This window comes from Homo sapiens, chromosome 19 (assembly GCF_000001405.40).
Source record: "Homo sapiens chromosome 19, GRCh38.p14 Primary Assembly".
NCBI lineage: Eukaryota > Metazoa > Chordata > Mammalia > Primates > Hominidae > Homo > Homo sapiens.
Window position 1 is genome coordinate 46984801 of NC_000019.10, and position 20315 is coordinate 47005115.

General features: G+C 54.5%; 1 protein-coding gene across 3 annotated transcripts in view, besides 2 other annotated features; it reads left to right on the forward strand.

Moving 5' to 3' along the window:
* The window catches only part of ARHGAP35 (Rho GTPase activating protein 35), a 144081-nt gene extending 123804 nt beyond the window's left edge, over positions 1-20277 (forward strand). The window contains exons 4-7 of one of the 3 annotated variants that reach the window (XR_002958305.2): positions 3189-3266; positions 4744-4875; positions 12697-12958; positions 14504-14574. Coding sequence is in view for 2 of the 3 variants with exons in the window: in NM_004491.5 (NP_004482.4) it covers positions 3189-3266; positions 4744-4875; positions 14504-14609; positions 15531-15888 (674 nt within the window). In the remaining variant the exon portion in view is untranslated. Of the gene's footprint in view, positions 1-3188; positions 3267-4743; positions 4876-12696; positions 12959-14503; positions 14610-15026; positions 15274-15530 lie in introns of those variants that run through there. The other 2 variants (NM_004491.5, XM_024451473.2) reach the window with 2 other exon arrangements.
* Positions 17661-18406: an enhancer, noted in NCBI's record as "H3K4me1 hESC enhancer chr19:47505718-47506463 (GRCh37/hg19 assembly coordinates)". NCBI's record gives its function as "activates a minimal SCP1, AML or CMV promoter by ChIP-STARR-seq in naive H9 embryonic stem cells {active_cell/tissue: H9 hESC(naive)}" and the evidence as "EXISTENCE:reporter gene assay evidence [ECO:0000049][PMID:30033119]".
* Positions 18407-19153: an enhancer, noted in NCBI's record as "H3K27ac-H3K4me1 hESC enhancer chr19:47506464-47507210 (GRCh37/hg19 assembly coordinates)". NCBI's record gives its function as "activates a minimal SCP1, AML or CMV promoter by ChIP-STARR-seq in naive H9 embryonic stem cells {active_cell/tissue: H9 hESC(naive)}" and the evidence as "EXISTENCE:reporter gene assay evidence [ECO:0000049][PMID:30033119]".

Here is a 20315-nt window from a genome sequence, read left to right on the forward strand (position 1 = left end):
GATAATTGCCAGATCGCTAATTTGCAGTTCGTCTCCTGCCCTCTCATGCCGGGGCCGGTGGCCATTATGAGGCAATGCAGAGCAGTCCTCAGTCCCGCTGAAGGTCAGGGTCACCAGAAGGTGATGTGCGGCCCTCGGCTGGCCAGGTCTTCTGCAGCTCGGAGACTGCCTCTCTACACTGAGACTCAGGAACGGTGACATTGCTGCATTATTCCGGACTCTTGAGACTGGTGCTATTTGTCCTGTCATTTTCTTTGTATTATGTAGGGCTGATATTCAGGGAAAGGGAAAATAACTTAGATTTAGTTTTATTTGTTTTTTTCAAATTAGGAGATGAAGACTTGAGCCTGCTGACACATACCCAAGGCTTGCTCATATGTGAAATAGGTAGAAGTTTAAATATGTCTTGAGAGCAGTTGAGAAAAGAGTCAGTGGAAAAATTACTAACTAGTGCTGGTGAGCAGGGTCTCGACAGCACAGGGGGTACGGGTGTGCCATCTCAAAAGCTGCCCTGGTGCTTAGGCCAGAGGGCTTCACCCAAGTGTGGTGCTGCTTCTGAGAAACGGGGGTGCTGTGGTCTGTACCCCAGCCTGGTGGATTAATAGGAAGCAGCAGAAGCTTGAGCCAGGTGTCTTCTGGAACACTAAGGAGGCAGGACAGTGGCAGAGTCCCCGGACTCAGACCACTCTGCCTCTTAGCAGCTATGATCTGGGGCAAGGACTTCACCTTTCTGAATCTTAGTTTCCTCATGTGTGTATTCTCTACCTACCCAATAGCTCTTCCCATGAGGTGTGGGAGATTAAATGGCATCATCGTTTATTTAATAAACAAGCAAATGGTGGATGGGGACAAAGCACCTAGCTCAGTGCACAGCGTGTGACCACTCTGATATGGAAAGTGCCAGCACTCTCCCAGGCGAGTACAGCAGTGGCAGCTCCTTTGTAACTAGGCGTTGCTTGGTAGGATGTCCCTGGGGTTGGTCCATTAACCTCCTTTTCTCTCGGGGAAAGGGCCTTGGTGCAATTAACAGCTTTTAAGCCAGAGAATTGATGCCTCTTGCTCCAGTGTTCTTGAAGCCTCAAGAAGTCTGGGACCCCCAGAAAACAGGCAGGCCAGTTGCTTTTATCTTGCCTGATGGCTGTCTCTCCAGAGGTAGCAGTGACAATAACAACCAACACGTGGCTCTCGGAAGCCTGACTGACTCCAGGGCCCGGTGCTCTCTACTGTCGGCACTGTTTCTGTTGTCCAGGGGCAGCACCCACAGTGCTTCCTCTGTGCACCTTCAGCAAGACAGAGTCGCTCAAAGCCAGTCTTCAGAAGGGACCCAGGGTTGCTTTAGCCATGAGACCCCATGTCAGTTTTCACAGTGACTTCACTGTCCTTTCGACAAAGTCCTTGAGATCTTGATGGCTCACAGTGGACTTCGTTCCCAGGACAGGGTGAGTGGACTCAGTAGACAGCTTGGAATCCACTCTAAGCTGAACAGTGCTCCTCTGCCCACGGTAGGATGGGGAGGGAGTGGGAGCCCATCCTTCCCTTGATATTTTATTCTAACTTACGTATTTAATTGACTTTTACTACTTTTTTTCTTGTATCACACTATACACCAAATAAGTTCCAGAATGATCACAGAATGAAATGATTTTTTTAACTGATAAAAAGAACTAGAAGGAAAAAAAACAATAGCTGATACAGGAATAGGAAAAACCTATTCTAAGCATAAAAACCAAGGAAGACATCATAAAGGAAATGGCTGGTCTTGAAAGCCTAAAATTTTTGAATTATATACTTCAACAAATTCAGTAAACAAAATTAGAAGACAGATAACAAAAAGGAAAAATGTAAACATATATAACGTTGATATAATTACTTAATATTCATAGACTTTCTCAAGTTCAAAATAAGAACACTAGGAAAATTAACAAGAACATGAATACGATATTCACAAAGTAAGAAATACCTATTTCCAGTAATCTGTTAAGCTTTTACTAGTTGTCAAAAAAACATACTTGTGAGTTAATTTTATTTATTTATTTATTTATTTTCAGACAGAGTTTTGCTCTTGTTGCCCAGGCTGGAGTGCAGTGGCACGATCTTGGCTCACCACAACCTCCACCTCCTGGGTTCAAGCAATTCTTCTGCCTCAGCCTCCCGAGTAGCTGGGATTATAGGCATGTGCCACCACACCCACCTAATTTTGTACTTTTAGTAGAGATGGGGTTTCTCCATGTTGGTCAGGCTGGTCTCGAACTCCTGACCTCAGGCTATCCACCCACCTCGACCTCCCAAAGTGCTGGGATTACAAGCATGAGCCAAGTGCTGGGATTACAGGCGTGAGCCACCACACCCTGCGCAAGTTAATTTTCTAACAGTAAAAACTTGGAAAACCCTGTATCACTTTTTTTTTTCTTTTTTTTCTTTTTTTTTTTTTTTTTTGAGAGAGTCTCACCTGTCACCCAGGCTGGAGTGCAGTGACGCAATCTCAGCTCACTGCAACCTCCGCTTCCTGGGTTCAAGCAATTCTCCTGCCTCAGCCTCCCAAGTAGCTTAGATTACAGGCGCGCACCACCACACCCAGCTGATTTTGTATTTTTAGTAGAGATGGGGTTTCACTATGTTGGCCAGGCTGGTCTCGAACTCCTGACCTCAAGTGATCCTCCTGCCTCAGCCTTCCAAAGTGCTGGGATTACAGGCGTGAGCCACCGCTCCCAGCCAACCCTGTATGATTAACAGCATGACTATTCTTACAGTGATCATATACTTTGGTGTCTTTAAAATCATGTAAAAGAATAAGAACTTGAAGTGATTAAAATAAATTCACAACATACTTTGTAAGTGAAAGTAATTGGGTTAAAATATATACTACCTCTGTTTTTTAAATGAAAATGAAAAACTCAAGAGTATACATCAAAATATGAACAGAAGTTATCTTTAGCTGCTGTGCTTCTATAGTCTTTCCATTTTTACCAAAAAACAAATACTTTAAAATTTTTAAGTGAAAAAGAAAATGGAGGTCAGATGGGTTGAAGCATCTAGAAAAATCAAACGAGAGTGTGCTGAGGCCTGCTCCTCTCTTGTGGTGGGCACCTCATGGACTTTCCCTGGCTTTCTCCTTGTCTTCGAGCCCAGCCCTCCTCATTCTCTGCTCTCCAGTTCCTGCTCCTAAGACCCTGCCTGTTTCTCCTCAGGACTGAGCACGGAAGGCATCTACCGGGTCAGCGGGAACAAGTCTGAGATGGAGAGTCTGCAGAGACAGTTTGATCAAGGTAAAGTGCAGCCTGGCCAGGCATCCGAGGCCAGAGCTGGTCAAGGCAGACACAGCTGCCTCGGTGAACTGTCTGTGGGGCTTCGGAGCACTCCTGCCAGCACAGACCCAAAGCCACGAGGTGCTGAGACTGAGAAAGAGACCATGTGTGGCTGCAGCGGGGAGGAGGGGACCGGGTCCTGTCAGTGAACCGAAGCACCATCCCTGCCCAAGCTGGGTCATGTAGGCCACTCCCCACACTGCCACTCACAGATGCTCTTCCAGGTTGCCCGGGCACATGCCTCCCTCACCACACTGAAGAGCTTTGCCTGTTTTCCCATGCAGAGCTAGTTGCAGGCACATGATATACAAGTCGGGTTGAGATGTGATCCTGTTTTGCCAGGGCCTCAGATCTACCCTCCTCACAAAGTCCCAGCACCAGAGAAAGTGAGGGACCATCGTGTGAGGAGCTGAGCCCTTGGGACAGAGACCCAAGTTACATAGCTCTTGGCAGGGACTCCCTTCTCCTAAGCTGAGCCAGCTTCAAGAGGCCTAAAGTCAGGCAGCCAAACTACCTCTTGGAATTGCCCACACTGTGGGATGAGAAGCCACGTCCCCCAGTGCCAGAAGCAAAAGCACCAGAGCAGGGCACATTCCCATCTATCAGCAGCCAGGGCAGGAGGCACCACCCAGAGTGGACACCACACCCACTTCCCAGGTGGGCGGCCCTTGCGCCTTGCAGCACCGCAGTCGGGCTCAGCTGGCCGGCAGCAGGCAGAGGGGACCGCAGGACAGGGAAACGCCTGCTAATCTGTGGGAGACACGAGGCCAAAGTGAGGGTAGAGCCCCCAGTGTGGGATGCATTTGTATATATGGGAGATCCTGTACCAGCTTACCTCCCCCATAGTGGAACCTGGTACTGTCCATCTGTAGAGATTTCTTCGTCATCAGGAACGCACTGAAGTATGTATGCAATGAGAAGGAAAGCATGACATGGGTCAGCGGTGCCTGTGGCTGGGAAGGGCCAGAGAGAGAAAAAATGAGCCTATTTGCCCTCCCACCATAGGGGACAAGGATGGAGGCAGCAGTCACAGTGGTTGCTAACATCTTTGTGACCTACCTGGAAAGCGAGCCACCCTTTAGGAAAGCCGCCTCCTTCTTCTGTGATGGGAAGGGAGTAAGGAAGAGGCAACAGCATATCAAAGCCAGATGAAGGCAAGCTCCTGGCACCAAAAACCAGCATGTGGGGGTAGCACCCCTGCCCCGAGAGTGGTAGAAGGGGCAGTTCAGCAGTCTCGGAAAGAGGTGCTGGGGCCAGCCCATGCCTGAACCTCAGAACTCGCGTTAGCGCTCACAAGTCCCACCCCTCCAATCCTTGCCAGTCCTGAGGCCGTCTCTGGCTCCTTGAGGTTTCTCTAGCCTCTCCTGAGCCCCGAGTTGTCCTGATGCTTCTGCCTGGCTTAGAATGGTTTGGCCTCACTCTCCTGACTTCCTTTCAGACCACAACCTGGACCTGGCAGAGAAAGACTTTACGGTGAATACCGTGGCTGGTGCCATGAAGAGCTTTTTCTCAGAACTGCCTGACCCCCTGGTCCCGTATAACATGCAGATCGACTTGGTGGAAGCACACAGTGAGTACCGGCAGCCCAGTGTTGGGCGGATTGAGGGAGAAAGGGCTTGGCACTGGAAGAATAGGTCCTGCCCTCAGAATGGATGCTGGCTGTTAGAGCTGAGGTTTGAAGGACAGAGGGCAAGGGAATTAACCAGATGACAGCAATGGGACTTGCAAATCGGGCTCCTGCCCTTGTAGACCTTAGGTGCTTATCTGAGGGTTACACCAAGAGAGTTGCAGGTTTCCCCCAAACTCTCATTAGTTAAGAGCATGGTTTCGGTGTCAGACTTGGCTCCTTCGCTTGTGGCCGACTTAACCTTCCCTGCCCCTTGTGTCCTGCCGTTGTTACCATCCCTACTCCTGCGGATGAAATTCTATTCGGAAAGGCCTAGAAGTGAGGCTGTGAATAGCCTATTTAATAGTAGGTCTTATTTTTCTTTCCCCTCTTCTTACCTGTCTTCTCCTACCTCTCATGTAATGAAGTTAACATGGGTCTAGGGTCCTACAGCCTCTTAGGAAGCCGGCCTCTGGAGGGAAAGAGATGACTCCAGTGGCCCTGGCCAAGTAATCATTTGATGCTGTAGCAAATTAGCACCTCTGGTTTTAATGGTATCCTGTGTGCCATGCCACCTTGCCTCATCAGTTGTTCCTGCCCCAGCCTGCCTCTCTGTAGAGGTGTTTGTCCAGATGGGCGAGCCTTCTCACTGGCCAGCCTTTCCCTGGACTTTGTGTAGTACCACAGAGGATGCCTGACCTCTCAGAGCGTCCCACCATGTGGCCCTCACTACCTTTTAAGTCATCAGCAGCCTTCCTGCTTTGTGCCTCTGGCAGGCCAAGACCCAGCAGCAGCCCTTGCTGTGCAGCTGCAGAAGGGAGTGTCTCTGCTAGCTGCCCAGAGATCACAGCCACCTGTGATCCAGCAACCAGAGGGTGGGGAAGAGGAAAGGAGACGTGTTCCTCAGGGGCAAGACATTAGTCTCATCTTGTCACTGCCCACCTCTAAAGAGGGAGCTTTAAACAAGCACAATTTATTCACAAGCCTGATGGTGTAGGCAGAAATTTGAGGGAGGTGATGGATCAGCATGGCCCCGAGTCCTGGGTCACTGACTCTTAGTAGCATCTGAAGGAGACAGGTGTGCAAGAAGCCCACCCCTGAACTGTCAGAGCCTCAATAGTGACAGGGCTGCGGGGCCTCCAAGCTCATCCTTCCAGGGTCTGCACTTCCTATGGTGTCTGTTTTCACAATCTGGATGCCACCTTCACCTTATTCTGTCCACACTCTCTTAGCTGACTGGAATTGTTCACAGCTCCTGACCCTATCTAAGCCCACAGGGATGGGGCAGGAGAGCGTGGTACTCCTGGGAGGGTCATAGAGTAGCCTGCTTTCTGAAGACGGGAGTCAGGGTTTCTCCAGGGGAGTTAGTGGGTGGGGACAGTTGCAGGCTTCTCCCCTGATCCTGCTGTCTGAAGATAGAGGCTTTCCCAGCAGTCACTTCTCCAGCAGGCTCCAGGCAGGCACAGATGTGAAGTCGCATGGGAAATCTCTATTCTGGAGCCAGCTTTCTTTCCACGGAAGCTTGTCTCACAGTGGAAGTTAGGAAAAGAGGAAGGCGTAGACTGATACCCAGTTTGCTGGAAGCCGGGAATTCCTGTCTGCATTTGTCTTGACTTGGCGCCATCTAGAGGTGCGTGAAATCCTGCCACCCGGCAGAACCCCATTGTTTCTGCGGGAACTGCTGACACAGCACCTTTTTGTGTAGGGTTGTGGGGCCGGCAGGAACGGGAGGTGCTATTGATAGGGAATCAGCCACCCTTCCCACAGCAGCTCTCACCCAGCTTCCACTGCTCAGGAGGTGGCTTCTGGCCGCTGCTACTGCAGCAGCCTGGGAAAGGGTGGAGGTTTCCCACTTCCTCTTCCCATTGTGTGTTTCCTGTCCCCGACGGTACTCAGCGGGGGCTCCGTTGTCTTGAACCTGACCGAAGCGGGTGGGAGAGGAGAAGATCTTGCTGACATGGCACCTCTCCCGGCCATAGCAGTTGACTGAAAAGCTGGGCTGTGGATGTTGCAGGGCCAGGTTCAACTGAGCCGCAGATACCAGGCAGTGCAAAAGTTAGTAGTGTTAAGGGATATTATGGAAAAAAGATGATTGTGCCCCAAAGTAGCTCTTCCCAGACTGGCTGGGGTTTCCATGGCTACATCAACTTGACCAGTTCTTTCTACTTAATCCCTGAGAGCAATTGTGTCTCTATATGTTCAGGCCTTGGAACCAGTTTCAAATCCCATCACAACAAATATCAAGGTCACTAGCAAATGGTTTTGTTAGCTCCAGAATTTCACAATATTGAACACTGCTGAAAATGTACTCGCAAAATAGAGACGTTTGTGATTATTTGCCAGTTATTTTCCTCCCACACTCAAGGTGACACGTGGGAGATTCAGAAATGAACAGCAGCAGCAACCGCACCGCCCATGGCCTGTGTGCCTGCCTAGGCTGGGCCCGGCTCTCCACGAGGCACTTGATTCCCACCACTGATCTTCCTTTGAGGAAGATGGTATTATAATACATCTCCATTTTACAGAGAAGGAAACAGCTTCTCAGAGGTGATACAGCCTGCCCAGGGTCACACCGCTAGGGAGTGGCAAGCCGGGGCTTGAGTCCCTGCGTACGTGGGTGCAAATGAAGTTCTCTGAAGACAGAGCAAAGCTGAGCTTGAAGTGCACAAACCCCAGCAAGGAAGGCGCGAGGAAGAGGGCTTCACAGGGGAGATGGGCCAGGGTTTCAGGAGGCAGAAGAAAAGGCTTGCGCTGCCTGTTCTGTCTCCTACCTGTAGCCCACCCCCACCTTCAAGAGTCGCTCTTGCCTGGTTTCTCCCCGTCTCTGTGACTCCCTCCTCCCTGCCTATCTGGAGTCGACCCCGTCCAGCTGGTGTCCACAGGCCCTGTCCTATGGCTTTTGTGCTGGAAGGGGTGCTAGAGCTGGCTCCGTCTCAAGCCAGAGGGTCAGGACCAAAGGACCTGTGGCTCCAGGGTCCGCATTAACTCCCTGTAATAGCTCACAAAATTCAGTCTTTTTAATTTAAGGAGAGACCAGTCATTTTCATCACATTGTTGAAGGGGATGTGTGACCCGAACATGGTTCAGGATGCCAGCTCATTGTCTCGGCCTTTCCATTTGACAGATGAGACTGTTGGGGCTAGAGATAACAGTGCAGCCTAGGTTACCAGGGGACGGCCCTGCTGCTCTCTGGGCTCTTGTTCACCAGCTGCCTTGGGACGTTACTGGTTCTGGGATCCTGCCTTCCTTTGATCTGTCCACATAGCTGCCCGAGGGCACGGGGGTGCTTCTCACACCCACGTACGGGGTCATTAATTTCACAGCTAGCCAGGCCCCGTGTGGACAGGGACAGATGGCAGTGGGCACACACATATGTGGTCCCAGGCTCAGTCTGGTGGGACAGGACATTCAACAGGTGATTGCAAAGCCGTGTCTCCAGGGGAAGGACAGCTTGGATTCTCCATCCTGAGCCCTGCAGAGTGAGGTCTTGGCCTTGGAGTTGTTTACCACCTGGGGCGGGGAGAGCCGACGCCGGACGAGCCTGCGTGATCACTGAAGGGCTGTGACCTTGAGCCGGGCTTTCCCTTTCCTGGCGATGCAGGCGTGCAGATGGTCAGCGGCGGCCAGCAGGGACTTTCCTCCAGGCACCGAGCTGGCAGCAGCAGACCCAGGCCTAGAGCTTGGTTGGCAGCCTGGCTGCCAGTGATGGCAAGTGGCGCAGCACAGCCAGGGCAGGAGTGTTCTTTGGGAACAGGGTCTCTGCCGCCACTTTGTTTGACCTTGGACCGGTATTCTGGCTTTGTGAGGCCTGGTGTGTCTGTTTTGTAAGAGGTATGGGAAGCTAATCGGTAAGGTCCCTGTGCCCTCTGTCTGTCCCCTCCCCTCCCTCCTGAGTTCTTGGGGTCTCTATTGTACTAAATTGCTGGATCTGTGTCCAGGCTGTCTTGGTTCAACTGGCCCAAAAATGCCTCCCTTGGACGTTTCTTGTTGTCTCAGTCGATGGCCCCTAAGTTCAAAAGTATGATGTCCCAGGAAGAGGTGCAGCTCCCAGCCCACGCCCCCTGAGCAAGAGCAGAGCCACCTGGAGCCAAGCCAAGCAAAGGGGTGAGCGCAGTGTGGAGGCTGGGGTCTCCTCCATAGGCCACCTTCTCTCCCGGCCCACGCCCCTGGACTCCTGTCTACCCCTGACCACACACTGGAGCAGGATGGGTTGTTTGTTGTTGTTGTTGTTGTTAGAAAAAACTAAGTGTCTTGACTCCCAAAGGGCAGGCTGAGGGAGCAGAGGATGTGAGGATCGGGCCCTCCACAGTCTGGGTCCTGAGGGGACTCTGAAGGGGGTGGAGGTTACACCAAAAGTCTGGACGAGCGGACCTGGGAATCCACAAACCAGCACACGCCAGGTGTGGGGAGAAGCCACCCTGGGCACCTGTACCATGGCGGGTCCGGGTTGCAGCAGCTCACCCAGGGCTGGGTGCCCTGACGGCCCTGTCCCAGTAGGGACACCAGGGAGCCCATTGCCCCTGCTGTTTCTTTGGCCAGTGTAGACACCTGGCCGGGCGGGCTACCTATTGAAGCTGGGGGTCCCTGTACAGCAGGGCTCCACTGAAGATGGTGAGTGGCTGCCCTGAGTGTGCCGCTGCCCTGTGACCAGGTCCACACAGACTGTGGCCCCAGCCTTCGGCAGCACCATAGGGTAGAAGGTGTCCAGGGTGCACGGGCTGGGCTGGCTCTTGGCCACCAGCTTGTTCCCCAGGCCTCTGGCTTGGAGCCTCGGGAGTCTGTGCTTGACCACACCCAGGCCCAGGTTGGAGCGGGATAGCCCAGTCAGCACCGTGCTCAGCAAGTAGCAGCCAGCCAGAGGCGCCGTGAACTCGCCGGGGATGAGGATGGTGGTCAGGAGGGGAAACAGAGGCAGGGCCAGGAAGGCCTCGAGGAGCCGGCCCAGAGCTCCTAGACTAGAGAGGCACCCACTGGGTCCTTTCCCCTCTTTCCACTAGACCGTAAGCGGCAGGGAATTTGGTTTTTGTCCCCTACTGCATCCCCAGTGTGTAAAATAGTACCCAGGCAGGAGCGGGTCCCCGTAAATATCTGCTCCTCCCACCCACTGCGGATGAACAAATGACCCAAGGAGGAGGGGCCTCCCAAATCCGAGAATGAAAGAATTCGCATTGTCTGACAAGGCAAGAATGGGGCGCTGTCACCACACAACCTCACCCATCCCCACGTGCTCAGCCCAGCCCTTCTCATGCTCACCTGCCTCTGGGTCAGAGTCACCTCCTCCCTCGCTGAGGACTGTTGAGGGACCTGTGCCTGGTTCCAACCAGGGCAGCTGAAAATGCCACACAGGGCACAGACACTGCTGGTGCCTCCCCCAGTCCTGAGTCAGGGGAGGGTGGGTATAGAAAAAAGGCTGGGTACAGTGTGACTGGGTACAGTGGCTCATACCTGTAATCCCAGCACTTTGGGAGGCCAAGGCGGGCAGATCATGAGGTCAGGAGTTCGAGACCAGCCTGACCAACACGGTGAAACCCCGTCTCTACTAAAAATACAAAAATTAGCTGGGCCTGTAATCCCAGCTACTCAGGAGGCTGAGGCAGGAGAATTGCTTGAATCTGGGAGGTGGAGGTTGCAGTGAGCCGAGATCGTGCCACTGCACTCCAGCCTGGGCAATACAGTGAGACTCCATCTCACAAAAAGAAAAAAAGTGTCCTAGCTGGTGAAGCCAGCACCCTGGAGGCCCCCCATCCCCTGTCCTGTCAGAGGATTACTACAGTCAGAGAGGGCTCTGCCGCGTGCAGGGAGGCGGGGACCCAGAGCAGATGGGCTAAGCTGGGAGACAGGCCTGGGTCCCATCCACCTTTGCCATCACCAGCCTTGTGGCCTTCTCTTGGCCTCTGGAGTGGGTTTCTCAGCCACCATATGGGTAACGCCCAGCCCCACCTTCCACTCGGGTCTGCGGTCAGGGCCATGCACAGAGCACTGTGAAGCTGTCCTGCCAGCACTTGGGCAGCACCCAAACCTAAGCAGCTACTGGTGCCTTTGCCATGTGAAGAGGCTGCAGCTGGAGCCTAGAGTAGGTCCCTCCCCAGAGAGGCCCTAGAGGGGTGAGGGCAAGCTTTGCTTAAGGAAAGAGGTGAATGGGGCTGAGTCAAAGGATGTTCACAAGGTCGACCTTGCTTTTAGTGTGGGCCAGACTTGAGCAGAAGGGCCTCTCGCCCTCCTTGACCTCTGCCCAGCGAGCTCCTAGTGCTGCTCAGTACTCAGGAGCACCTGGACCAGGCAGCCAGTGGGGAGGGGAGCAGGCGAGGAGACTGGCCACCCGCTCCTCACTAGGCGTTCGGCTGAGGTGCATATGCAGAAGGAGGCTGGGATTCTAGGGGGCAGCCCCTAAATTTATTTTTTTTCTTTTTGAGATGGAGTCTTGCTCTGTCACCCAGGCTGGAGCACAGTGGCACGATCTTGGCTCACTGCAACCTCCATCTCCCAAGTTCAAGTGATCCTTCTGCCTCAGCCTCCCAAATAGCTGGGATTATAGGCACACGCCACCAGACCTGGCTAATTTTTGTATTTTTAGTAGAGATGGGGTTTGGCATGTTGGCCAGGCTGGTCTCAAACCCCTGACTTCAAGTGATCCACCCACCTCAGCCTCCCAAGTGCTGGGATTACAGGCCTGAGCCACCGCGCCCGGCCCCTAAATTATTATCAATGCAGGCTTTGTAACTCCCACCCCTGCCCCTCCCCACCCCCTGAAGAAGAAACAAAACCACCCGCCTTGCTACTCATCAGATAGGAAGGAGAGCAGGCATCTCTGGCAGACCTAGGCTTTGCCAGCCCCGTTTCCTGCCTCCAGCCAGAGGACGGGATGAGACCCAGCTCTTATGTAAAGGTGCTACCACTCGATGCCTAATTAAGACAAACACAGCTGTGTTTGGGTCGTGCAGGCACCTACGGAGAGACCTGTGTCCTCCTGTGCCAAGCTAGCAGCTGGAAGGGGGCATGACGATTTTATTAAGTGAAGCTTTACACCACACACATGCTGCTTGTGTTTTCTAATACGGTCTTCTGTCCTCCCTACAGCAGTTTACTTTGTTTATGTAAACATTTTATTGTAAAATGACAATGAATTGTTTGAAGACTCAAGGTCGTAGAAAAGAGTGTGCCCATGGCCGGGTGCGGTGGCTCACGCCTGTAATCCCAGCATTTTGGGAGGCCGAGGCGGGTGGATCACCTGAGGTCAGGAGTTCCAGACCAGCCTGGACAACGTGATGAAACCCCGTCTCTAGTAAAAATACAAAAATTAGCAGGCGTGGTGGTGGGCACCTGTAATCCCAGCTACTTGGGAGGCTGAGGCAGGAGAATCGCTTAAACCTGGGAGGCAGAGGTTGCAGTGAGCTGAGATCACGCCACTGCACTCCAGCCTGGGCAACAGAGCGAGACTCCATTTCAAAAAAAGAAAAAAAGAAAGTGCCCTTGAGGTGGAACCCTTAAAATAAACCTTGGATTCAGAGAGATGAAGCTGCTCATAGCCCAATAACTAGCTCCCAGGACTTTTTTAGTCATTTCTGATAGACAGATGTTACCAAGACACTGCTCTTATCAAGTCACACTCTCAAGGCCACAGATTTGCCAGGTTTCATTCCTCCTCATTAGGCTGCCCGGGAGAGCTCCTGGAGCTCTGTCCCTTCCAGCCCTGCGGCCTCCCTTCCCCACAGGCTCCTGCGAGTAGACTGGCTCCCAGGTGCCCTTATTTTGTGTCCAGCTGTGAACTCTTCATTTAATTGCCAGGTGTCACCGAATGAAGGAGGCACTGTCCACAGCCCCTTTTACAGACAAGGAGACTCACCCTAAGGTGTCACTTGCCCAAGGTGACACGGTTGACGCGAGAGGCCGGATTTGTACCAGGGCCATCTGAGTCAGGATCTGGACTCCAGACCACCACAGGACCTTCCTCCCTGCTCAGCGTGCCCGTCATTGGCATTCTGTCTGCTCTTCCAAGTCTCACTCTCACCAGGGTGCTTGTGCAACTCCCCCAACTCTGACCCTCTGGGTACGTCACCTGCTGCAAGGTGACTAGGAAGCTATGGGTTTCCCAAAGAATGCTTGCTTCAGGGCTGGGCGCGGTGACTCACGCCTGTAATCCCAGCACTTTGGGAGGCTCAGGTGGGTGGATCACGAGGTCAGGAGATCGAGACCATCCTAGCTAACACGGTGAAACCCCGTCTCTACTAAAAATACGAAAAAATTAGCCGGCGTGGTGGCGGGCACCTGTAATCCCAGCTACTTGGGAGGCTGAGGCAGGAGAATGGTGTGAACTCAGGAGGCGGAGCTTGCAGTGAGCCGACATCGCACCACTGCACTCCAGCCTGGGTGACAGAGTGAGACTCCGTCTCAAAAAAAAAAAGAAAAAAGAAAGAAAAGAATACTTGGTTCAGGGAGTCCGCACCCCTCCCGGATTCATCAGCAGAATGGCACACATATGTCTCCGGCCGAGACGGTCTGGCACCATCATCTATCCCAAAGGAGCCCGAGCCCCCGGGCCCATTAGCAATCATCTGCGCTTTAACAGGCCTCTCTTCACCACCCCCACAGCCGCCAGCTGTGAGGTCGCTGCCATCTCCTTCGTGAGACCCTCCTGTGGTTCTTCTGAGCCCTGGAGTCCACGAAGGAAACATGGGGGCATCTTTCCCTGCACAGAGAAATCTGTCTTAGCCAGCTGGGCTCCAGGTGGGCTCTGGGACGTTTGTGCCTCACCAGCCCCGATGCCCTTCCCAGTCAAGGTGGGCCACACCCACTCGGGGATGGCAAGCCCAGTGGCCACAGCTCAGGCCCCACAGCCAGTCCCAGCTCTGCAACTTCTAAACTCAGATACTTCATCCTCAAAATGGGGTGACGAGTTCCTGCCTCACACGATTGTGGGGACTCATGGAACTGGGCCTGGCGCGGGTTACAAGCTGCATTCCAGGCAGTTGTTTTCCCTCCCCCAGGACATTAGGATTCCATGATAGGCAAAGTGTGGGCGTTGGGGGAAAAGGGGGTGCGTAGTTCCTTTGGTGAAGTGCATAAGAATTCCCCCACTGTTTCCATCAGCCCCTCCAACGGGGATGTGTGGACGGTCCCTGTGTCTCTAGGAAAAGGACAGAGCCTTGGTCTCATGACCGACTGACTCCCTCCCTCGAAGGCCTGTTGGCGTGGGTGGGTGGCAGCGGCCGCCCGTCTCCATCTGGTCAGGAAGCAAGCAGGCTTTCTGCGTAGGGATGCCTGTCTCCAGGGGCAACCGGATGAGCAAAGAATGGTGTTCTTTATGGCGGAGTGTCTCCAGATTGTTCTGTCTTGGGTGGTGGGGGCCAGGAAGCCCCAGGCACACAGTGCCGCCCTTCAGCGGGGGCCTGGGACACAGAGGTGGGCCAGACCCCTGGGCCAGTGCCACTGCCAGGTGTGCCAGCCTTGGGCACAGGCTTTGGGGGAAAGAGTGGGGTTAGTGTCATCCAAAAGCCCTGGGCTGTCCTCAGAGAAGGCCCATCACAGAGCACGCCCTGGGGTGGCCACCAGCCTCGGCCATGAAAGGCAAGGCTTTGGTTTTCTCTCTCCTCAGAAATCAACGACCGGGAGCAGAAGTTGCATGCCCTTAAGGAGGTATTAAAGAAATTTCCAAAGGAAAACCACGAAGTCTTCAAGTATGTCATCTCTCACCTAAACAAGTAAGTCGCAGGGCCTTCTGGTTGGTTTTTCCTCCTGAAAATTGACAGCCAGGGTCAGTGTGTCGCAGAACAAGGCTCTGTCCACAAGCCAGTAGAAGCCTCAGGCCCTGGCCTGGAAGGGGTGCTGGCTGGCCTCCCATGGTGCCCGCTGGTCTCGGTGCCCAGAGCCTCTGCCTCTCGCCCATCCTCAGGCCTCCCTCCTGCTCCTGTCTGAGGGCAGCCCACGTGGCCTCAAACCTGCCTAACACCAGATAGGGCACTTAGCTCCAGCGGGCATGGGGCCTCTTGTAGGCCTGTGTCCCAAAGCTGGCAGAGAGAGAAGATCTTCTGGTTGGTACTGATGCTCCAGAAATCTTCTCCTGAATCAAAAACACCTCAGAGTCCCTGAAAGTCCTCTCACAGCATTCACGTTCCCAGCTGGGGAGAACCGGGACACTGCACCTCGAGAGATGTGCTGCAGGAGACAGCCAGCCTCCGGCATGGAGCACAGCCGCAGGCGGGAGGCCGTATGGTTGTTCCCTGAAGTTCCATGTGTGTGGAGGAGATCTGCTGGCCGAGTGGCCTCTGATGGCGCTCTGGCTTAGGACACTCAGCCTCCCTCCCTCGTCACAGCCGGAGCACCGCCACTGCTTTGGCTGGCTGCAGAGTGAGTCCCTGAGGTGGTCCATCCACCCCCAGGGGTTTGCGGGGCTCCAGGCAGCCTTTCCGAGGTTGGCCATGTAGAGGCACTGGGCTGGAGGGGAGAGGACACTGAGGGCGCAGCCTCCCAGGCAGGGCAGGGTACAGAGAGCTGCGCATGGCCTTTTCTGCTCCACCTGAGGGAAGAAAGGTGGGCTCAGCCTGGGTGCTGAAGACCATGAGCGCCCAGGGCCAGGTGGGGCCCTGCACAGTTCTGACCATTGAGTTTGGTGTCGCCCGCAGGGTCAGCCACAACAACAAGGTGAATCTCATGACCAGCGAGAACCTCTCCATCTGCTTCTGGCCCACCTTGATGAGACCTGATTTCAGCACTATGGACGCCCTCACAGCCACGCGCACCTACCAGACAATCATTGAACTCTTTATCCAGCAGTGCCCCTTCTTCTTCTACAATCGGCCCATCACCGAGCCCCCCGGCGCCAGGCCCAGCTCCCCCTCTGCCGTGGCTTCCACCGTCCCCTTCCTCACTTCCACGCCTGTCACAAGTCAGCCGTCGCCCCCACAGTCGCCTCCACCCACCCCCCAGTCCCCAATGCAGCCACTGCTTCCCTCCCAGCTTCAAGCCGAACACACGCTGTGAGCCACCAAGACCTGGGGCGACAGGAGAACCGGTCCTCTCTCTGACGGGGTGGCATTTGGCCTTGAACAAAACCAAGTCCACTGGGGACAGAGGCAGGGGCAAGTGGCTCTCCCCATTACCTTCTCAAGACCTCAGTGGGAGCACCAGCCAATGGTACCATCGGCTGGGCTGCCAGGTACCCTGGGCCTGGCGCTGCAGACCTGAGCTGGCTTGGACCCATTTGAGGACTGAACTAGGCAGGCAATGGCTCCAGTGCCCTCCCTCTGTTCCCTGGACCACCACCCCACGTAGCTGCTCACACCAGCCTCCGGGTGCCTCCCTCTGCTTGTACAGAGCCCATGGTCGGGACAGTGCCCTGGCCTTTGCCGGGGAGGAGGATGCTCTGAGATTCAGGGTGGGGCTGGCAACCCCTGAAGAGAACACTTCCTGTTGGTCTGTCTCTTCCCACCTTCCATCTGCACACACCCCCAAGGTAAGGGTACAGCCCGGCTGGCGGCCTCCTTGGGAACGTGTAGGCCACGGCTCTGCCACCACTAGGTACCTGCTGAGGGCGCTGGCTCTGCAGATCAGAACAACGGAGGATAGCTTTGTGCCTGGACCCAGAGAGTGTGGGACTCCCCGCTTCATCCCCACCGTCCCACTCCACAGCCTTCCCGAAACATTCCCTGGCAAACAAAGGAACACTAGGAGAAAAAATGGAAAAACCCTTCCAGTAATTAAAAAGGAAGAAACCACAGAAAGAAAACTACAGACCTCAAGATTCCACTCTGTGCCCGCCTCTGCCGGGAGGGAGGGAGGCACACAGGTGGAGCTGACCCTCGTCTTTGTGGCAGCAAAACCAGGATGCCTGGAGCTGTGGCCTGAGGGCCTGCTGGGGTCCCACTCACCCACTTAGGTCTAGTCGCTAGATCCCCCGTTTTCCCAAGAAGAGGGTTCGAGCCCTTGGTGGGGACAGCTGGGGAGATGGCAGTGCAGGCTGGAACCTGGGCTGCCCCAGAACACAGTCCATTACGATAGAAACACTAATTGAGCATGTGCGTGGGGTGGGGGTGTGTGTGCACATGTGAGTGTGAGTGTGTGTGGGCGCTTGGTGGGGGGTTGGGGACAGCTGGAAGGTGCCAGGTGCACTTGGGGTTGGGGTTGGTGTGTTGGGTGTTGAAGTGGAATCGTTTCATCCCAGCCATGGAGGCCACCAGCAGGAGTGTTCATGGGGATGTGGGCGAGGTGGGGCACTTTGAAGGAATGGCGGTCTGCTGGTGCCCTCGAAGGGGCATCCTTCCTGGTCTTCGCTGACCCAGAGGCGCTGTGCCTGCATATCATCCACCACCACCCTAGCCCAGCCTTCCCACTGCCCCAGGAAAAGCTCTTCTCCTGGCCACCTCTGCCCCCCAGCACCTCAAACTTGCATGGCTGGGCTGTGGCCTCTGCGGCCAGGAAGCCTGACACTAGGCACCCCCCAGGCGAGAGCTAGTGGGGTGCAGAGGGCCCCATGCCAGACAGCCCTTGGGGCTCGTTGCACTTTAAGAAATAGGATCTGTGGTGTATTCCAGGGGGCCTGATGGACACCTTTCCCGGGCGTCTGCAGCTGCCCTGCCCGTGCCCGCCTGCAGTGGTTGGAGACGGGAGTGGCCCTTCGGCTCCCGAGCTCCCTCTGGGGACGGCTGGCTCACTGTCTCCAGTTCTCAATGGCCAACGAAGGTGCTTGGAAACACCTAACCTTGCAAGTTTTACCGCCTTTTGAGGAACACAAATCGGAGAACAAACCCAGGGTTCAGGCGTGTTTTCTGTGAATGTTGGATGATGAATTTTTGTCTCTTCTGGTGGAGCTGTGCCTGGCCCTGTAGGCCCAGGGTTGGCTGGAAGGTGACATCTGTGTTTCGTTTTAGCTGAGGTTGGCAGAAACGTTCCCAAACTCCCCCAGCCCTGGACCCCAGCAGATGAGGAAACGGCCCCATTTACTGACCCCGCCCCCTTTTCGAGGTTATGCTCACCTGGTCAGCTCCTCACGTAATTGGGGGTGGAGGGAAAGCATGGTGGTGCCCTGGGCCGTCCCTGTGTGAACGCAGGCAAAAGCAGCCCAGTCCCCCTCACTGCTTGAGCTAACACTGCCACCTCTTTTGTGTGAGCACAAAAGCCACGTCCCAAGCCACCTGGCCCGATTCCACAGATGTATGTGCGGCCAGTGACTTCCCCAGGAGTGTGGAGGGGGTGGTGAGGAGGAGCACCTGGGCTCTCTACCCCTCTCCTCACAGAAGTACCTGAAACTAGGTCTGGGGCACTCCCAATGCAGCGCCTTGTCAGCCAAGGTGGGCAGGCAGGGACTGTGGCAGCTTATGTCCAAAGGGAGCCCCCATGCACAGGAAGCCACAGGGTTCCTCTTGTTTCCCCCGCTAACTTCAGCCTCTCATCTGCTGCTCCGGGCTGAGGGACTAGAGGACATCTCGGTCGTTTGAGGGGCATGGCCAGTCGTGGCAGGCCGGCCTTCAGCGTCCGGTCAGGGAAGCGTGCAGCCCAAATGGGCACTTGCATGGGAGCCACAGAGGAGCGTCCCTGGGGATTGTTGGGACCATGCTGCCCCCACTCCCGCTTTTGTTGGGGCTCTAAGTTCTGGAAGGTGTGTGCACAGAGGGTGCTCATGGGACTCGCATGCAGCTCTCAGCACTGGGTGGGAGGGCGTTGGCTTGTCCAGAATGGGGACGTGGGGCAGCCACCCCTGCCCAGCGAGAGCGCAGACACCGTGTGAGGGGACAGCAGCCCTTGGTGCAAAGCCAGAGACTGATCCTGGCTCTGACGGCTGAAGAGGGAAGACCCAAGGCTGGGTGGCGTGGCTCGTGAATCCACTTAGAATTCTTGGCTTGTGTCGCATACTGGGTGTCACGGCACACATTTACTCTGCATTGTCCCCGTCTTTCCCATCGCCTAGCGTTTGGGGAGGAACAGGGAGAGAGCTTCGGGGCGTCTGTCTCCGTGCTCTCCTGCCTCCACCGCCTTGGTTTTGCTTCCTGCTGGAGGCAGGGCACCTGCTGCGACCCAGATTCTTCTGCAGGATGTGTCTGTCTTTGTCACGGTGGACAGAGGGTGACATCATAGGAGCAGCTCGCTGGCCAGAAGGGGATGGGGGCATCCCTGTGCCTCACTCAGCTCCTGCTGCTCTTAGGGAAAGGAGGCCTGGGTCAAGCCAGCATCCCCTTGGTAAAGACCCCCGCAGGCCACCAGGCATTCTGGACACGCACACACACACACACACACACACACACACACAAAACTTCACAGCAGGCCAGCTGCAGTGACTTGTCATCAAGAGTCACCTCAGCTGCGCCCCCCTCCCATCCTTTCCTATGAGAAGCCACTGCTTTGGGGGCGCCGGCTAGAAAAAGTAGGGTGCGGTGGCCAGGAGGGCCCCTGCCGCGCGGGGGGCTGGGTCTGGTTGAGTCGCTGCTTTCCCGAGGGCAGCGCAGGGATCCGGGGAAGCTGCGGCAGGGAGCGGGCGCCGGCTTCGTGGCTCTGAGGTGTAACGGGGGTGGGCTCCCTCCCTCGGAGGACATCGTCTGTGTCCAGGTCAGAAAGTGGCCCAGGAAGGGGGCAGTTTCTGTCGCGGGTCCGGTGGGGGCGCGGCCGCGGTGCGGTCGGTGCAGCGTGGCCAATGCGCGGCGCGCGCGGGGGACAGAGCAGGAGGCGGTCTGTCACCTCGGCCACTGCTGACCTGGGCTGGCCTCCCCCAGCCCTCCCGTGGCGGAGCCGGCAGCGATGCTACAGGCCTAAGTTATTGTTTGCATAAAAAGAATCATGTTCCCTGTGTACATTTAAGAAAAAAACAAAAAAACGGAAATGTCAGAATTGTATGGAAATAAAACTTGTTTGAAAATTTGGAATAGTGCTGCTGCCAGCTTATTTTTCTGGTACTTGTATTTTCACATGTTAAATGATCTTTATATATGTTGAATTAACAAATATTTTGAGTTTCTGAGAAAAAACAAAACATATTAATGGTATTGAAATGTGTTAGTAGTCTGGCTGTGTGCCCAAAATTCTGTTTCGCAGCAAAAGTGAAGACCTGTATGTAAAGAAAGTATAACAATTATTTCTTTGTATTTTAGGGGCTTTAACCGGAACATCGTCTAGCTGGTGTTAGGAATGTTTGCTTAATTTCCAGACTTTTTTTTAAAAACACATCGTGGGTTTTTTGAGGCTCCAACCTGATTAGTGCATGGTCAGCCCTCAATGAAGGCTGAGGCATCTCTGACTGAGGTGTTTTTGTTTGGTTTTGTTTTTTAAAATCATGTATTTGCTACAAAGTATTGTACTTGTCTCAATGGGAATGGTGTAAAAAACAAAAGGCCTTATGTGATCTGTATCATAGTTAATAAATGAATCTTGTAAAAAACCAAACCTGAGAGAAGTGAAGGGGGGCCTCCTCCTTACCGGGC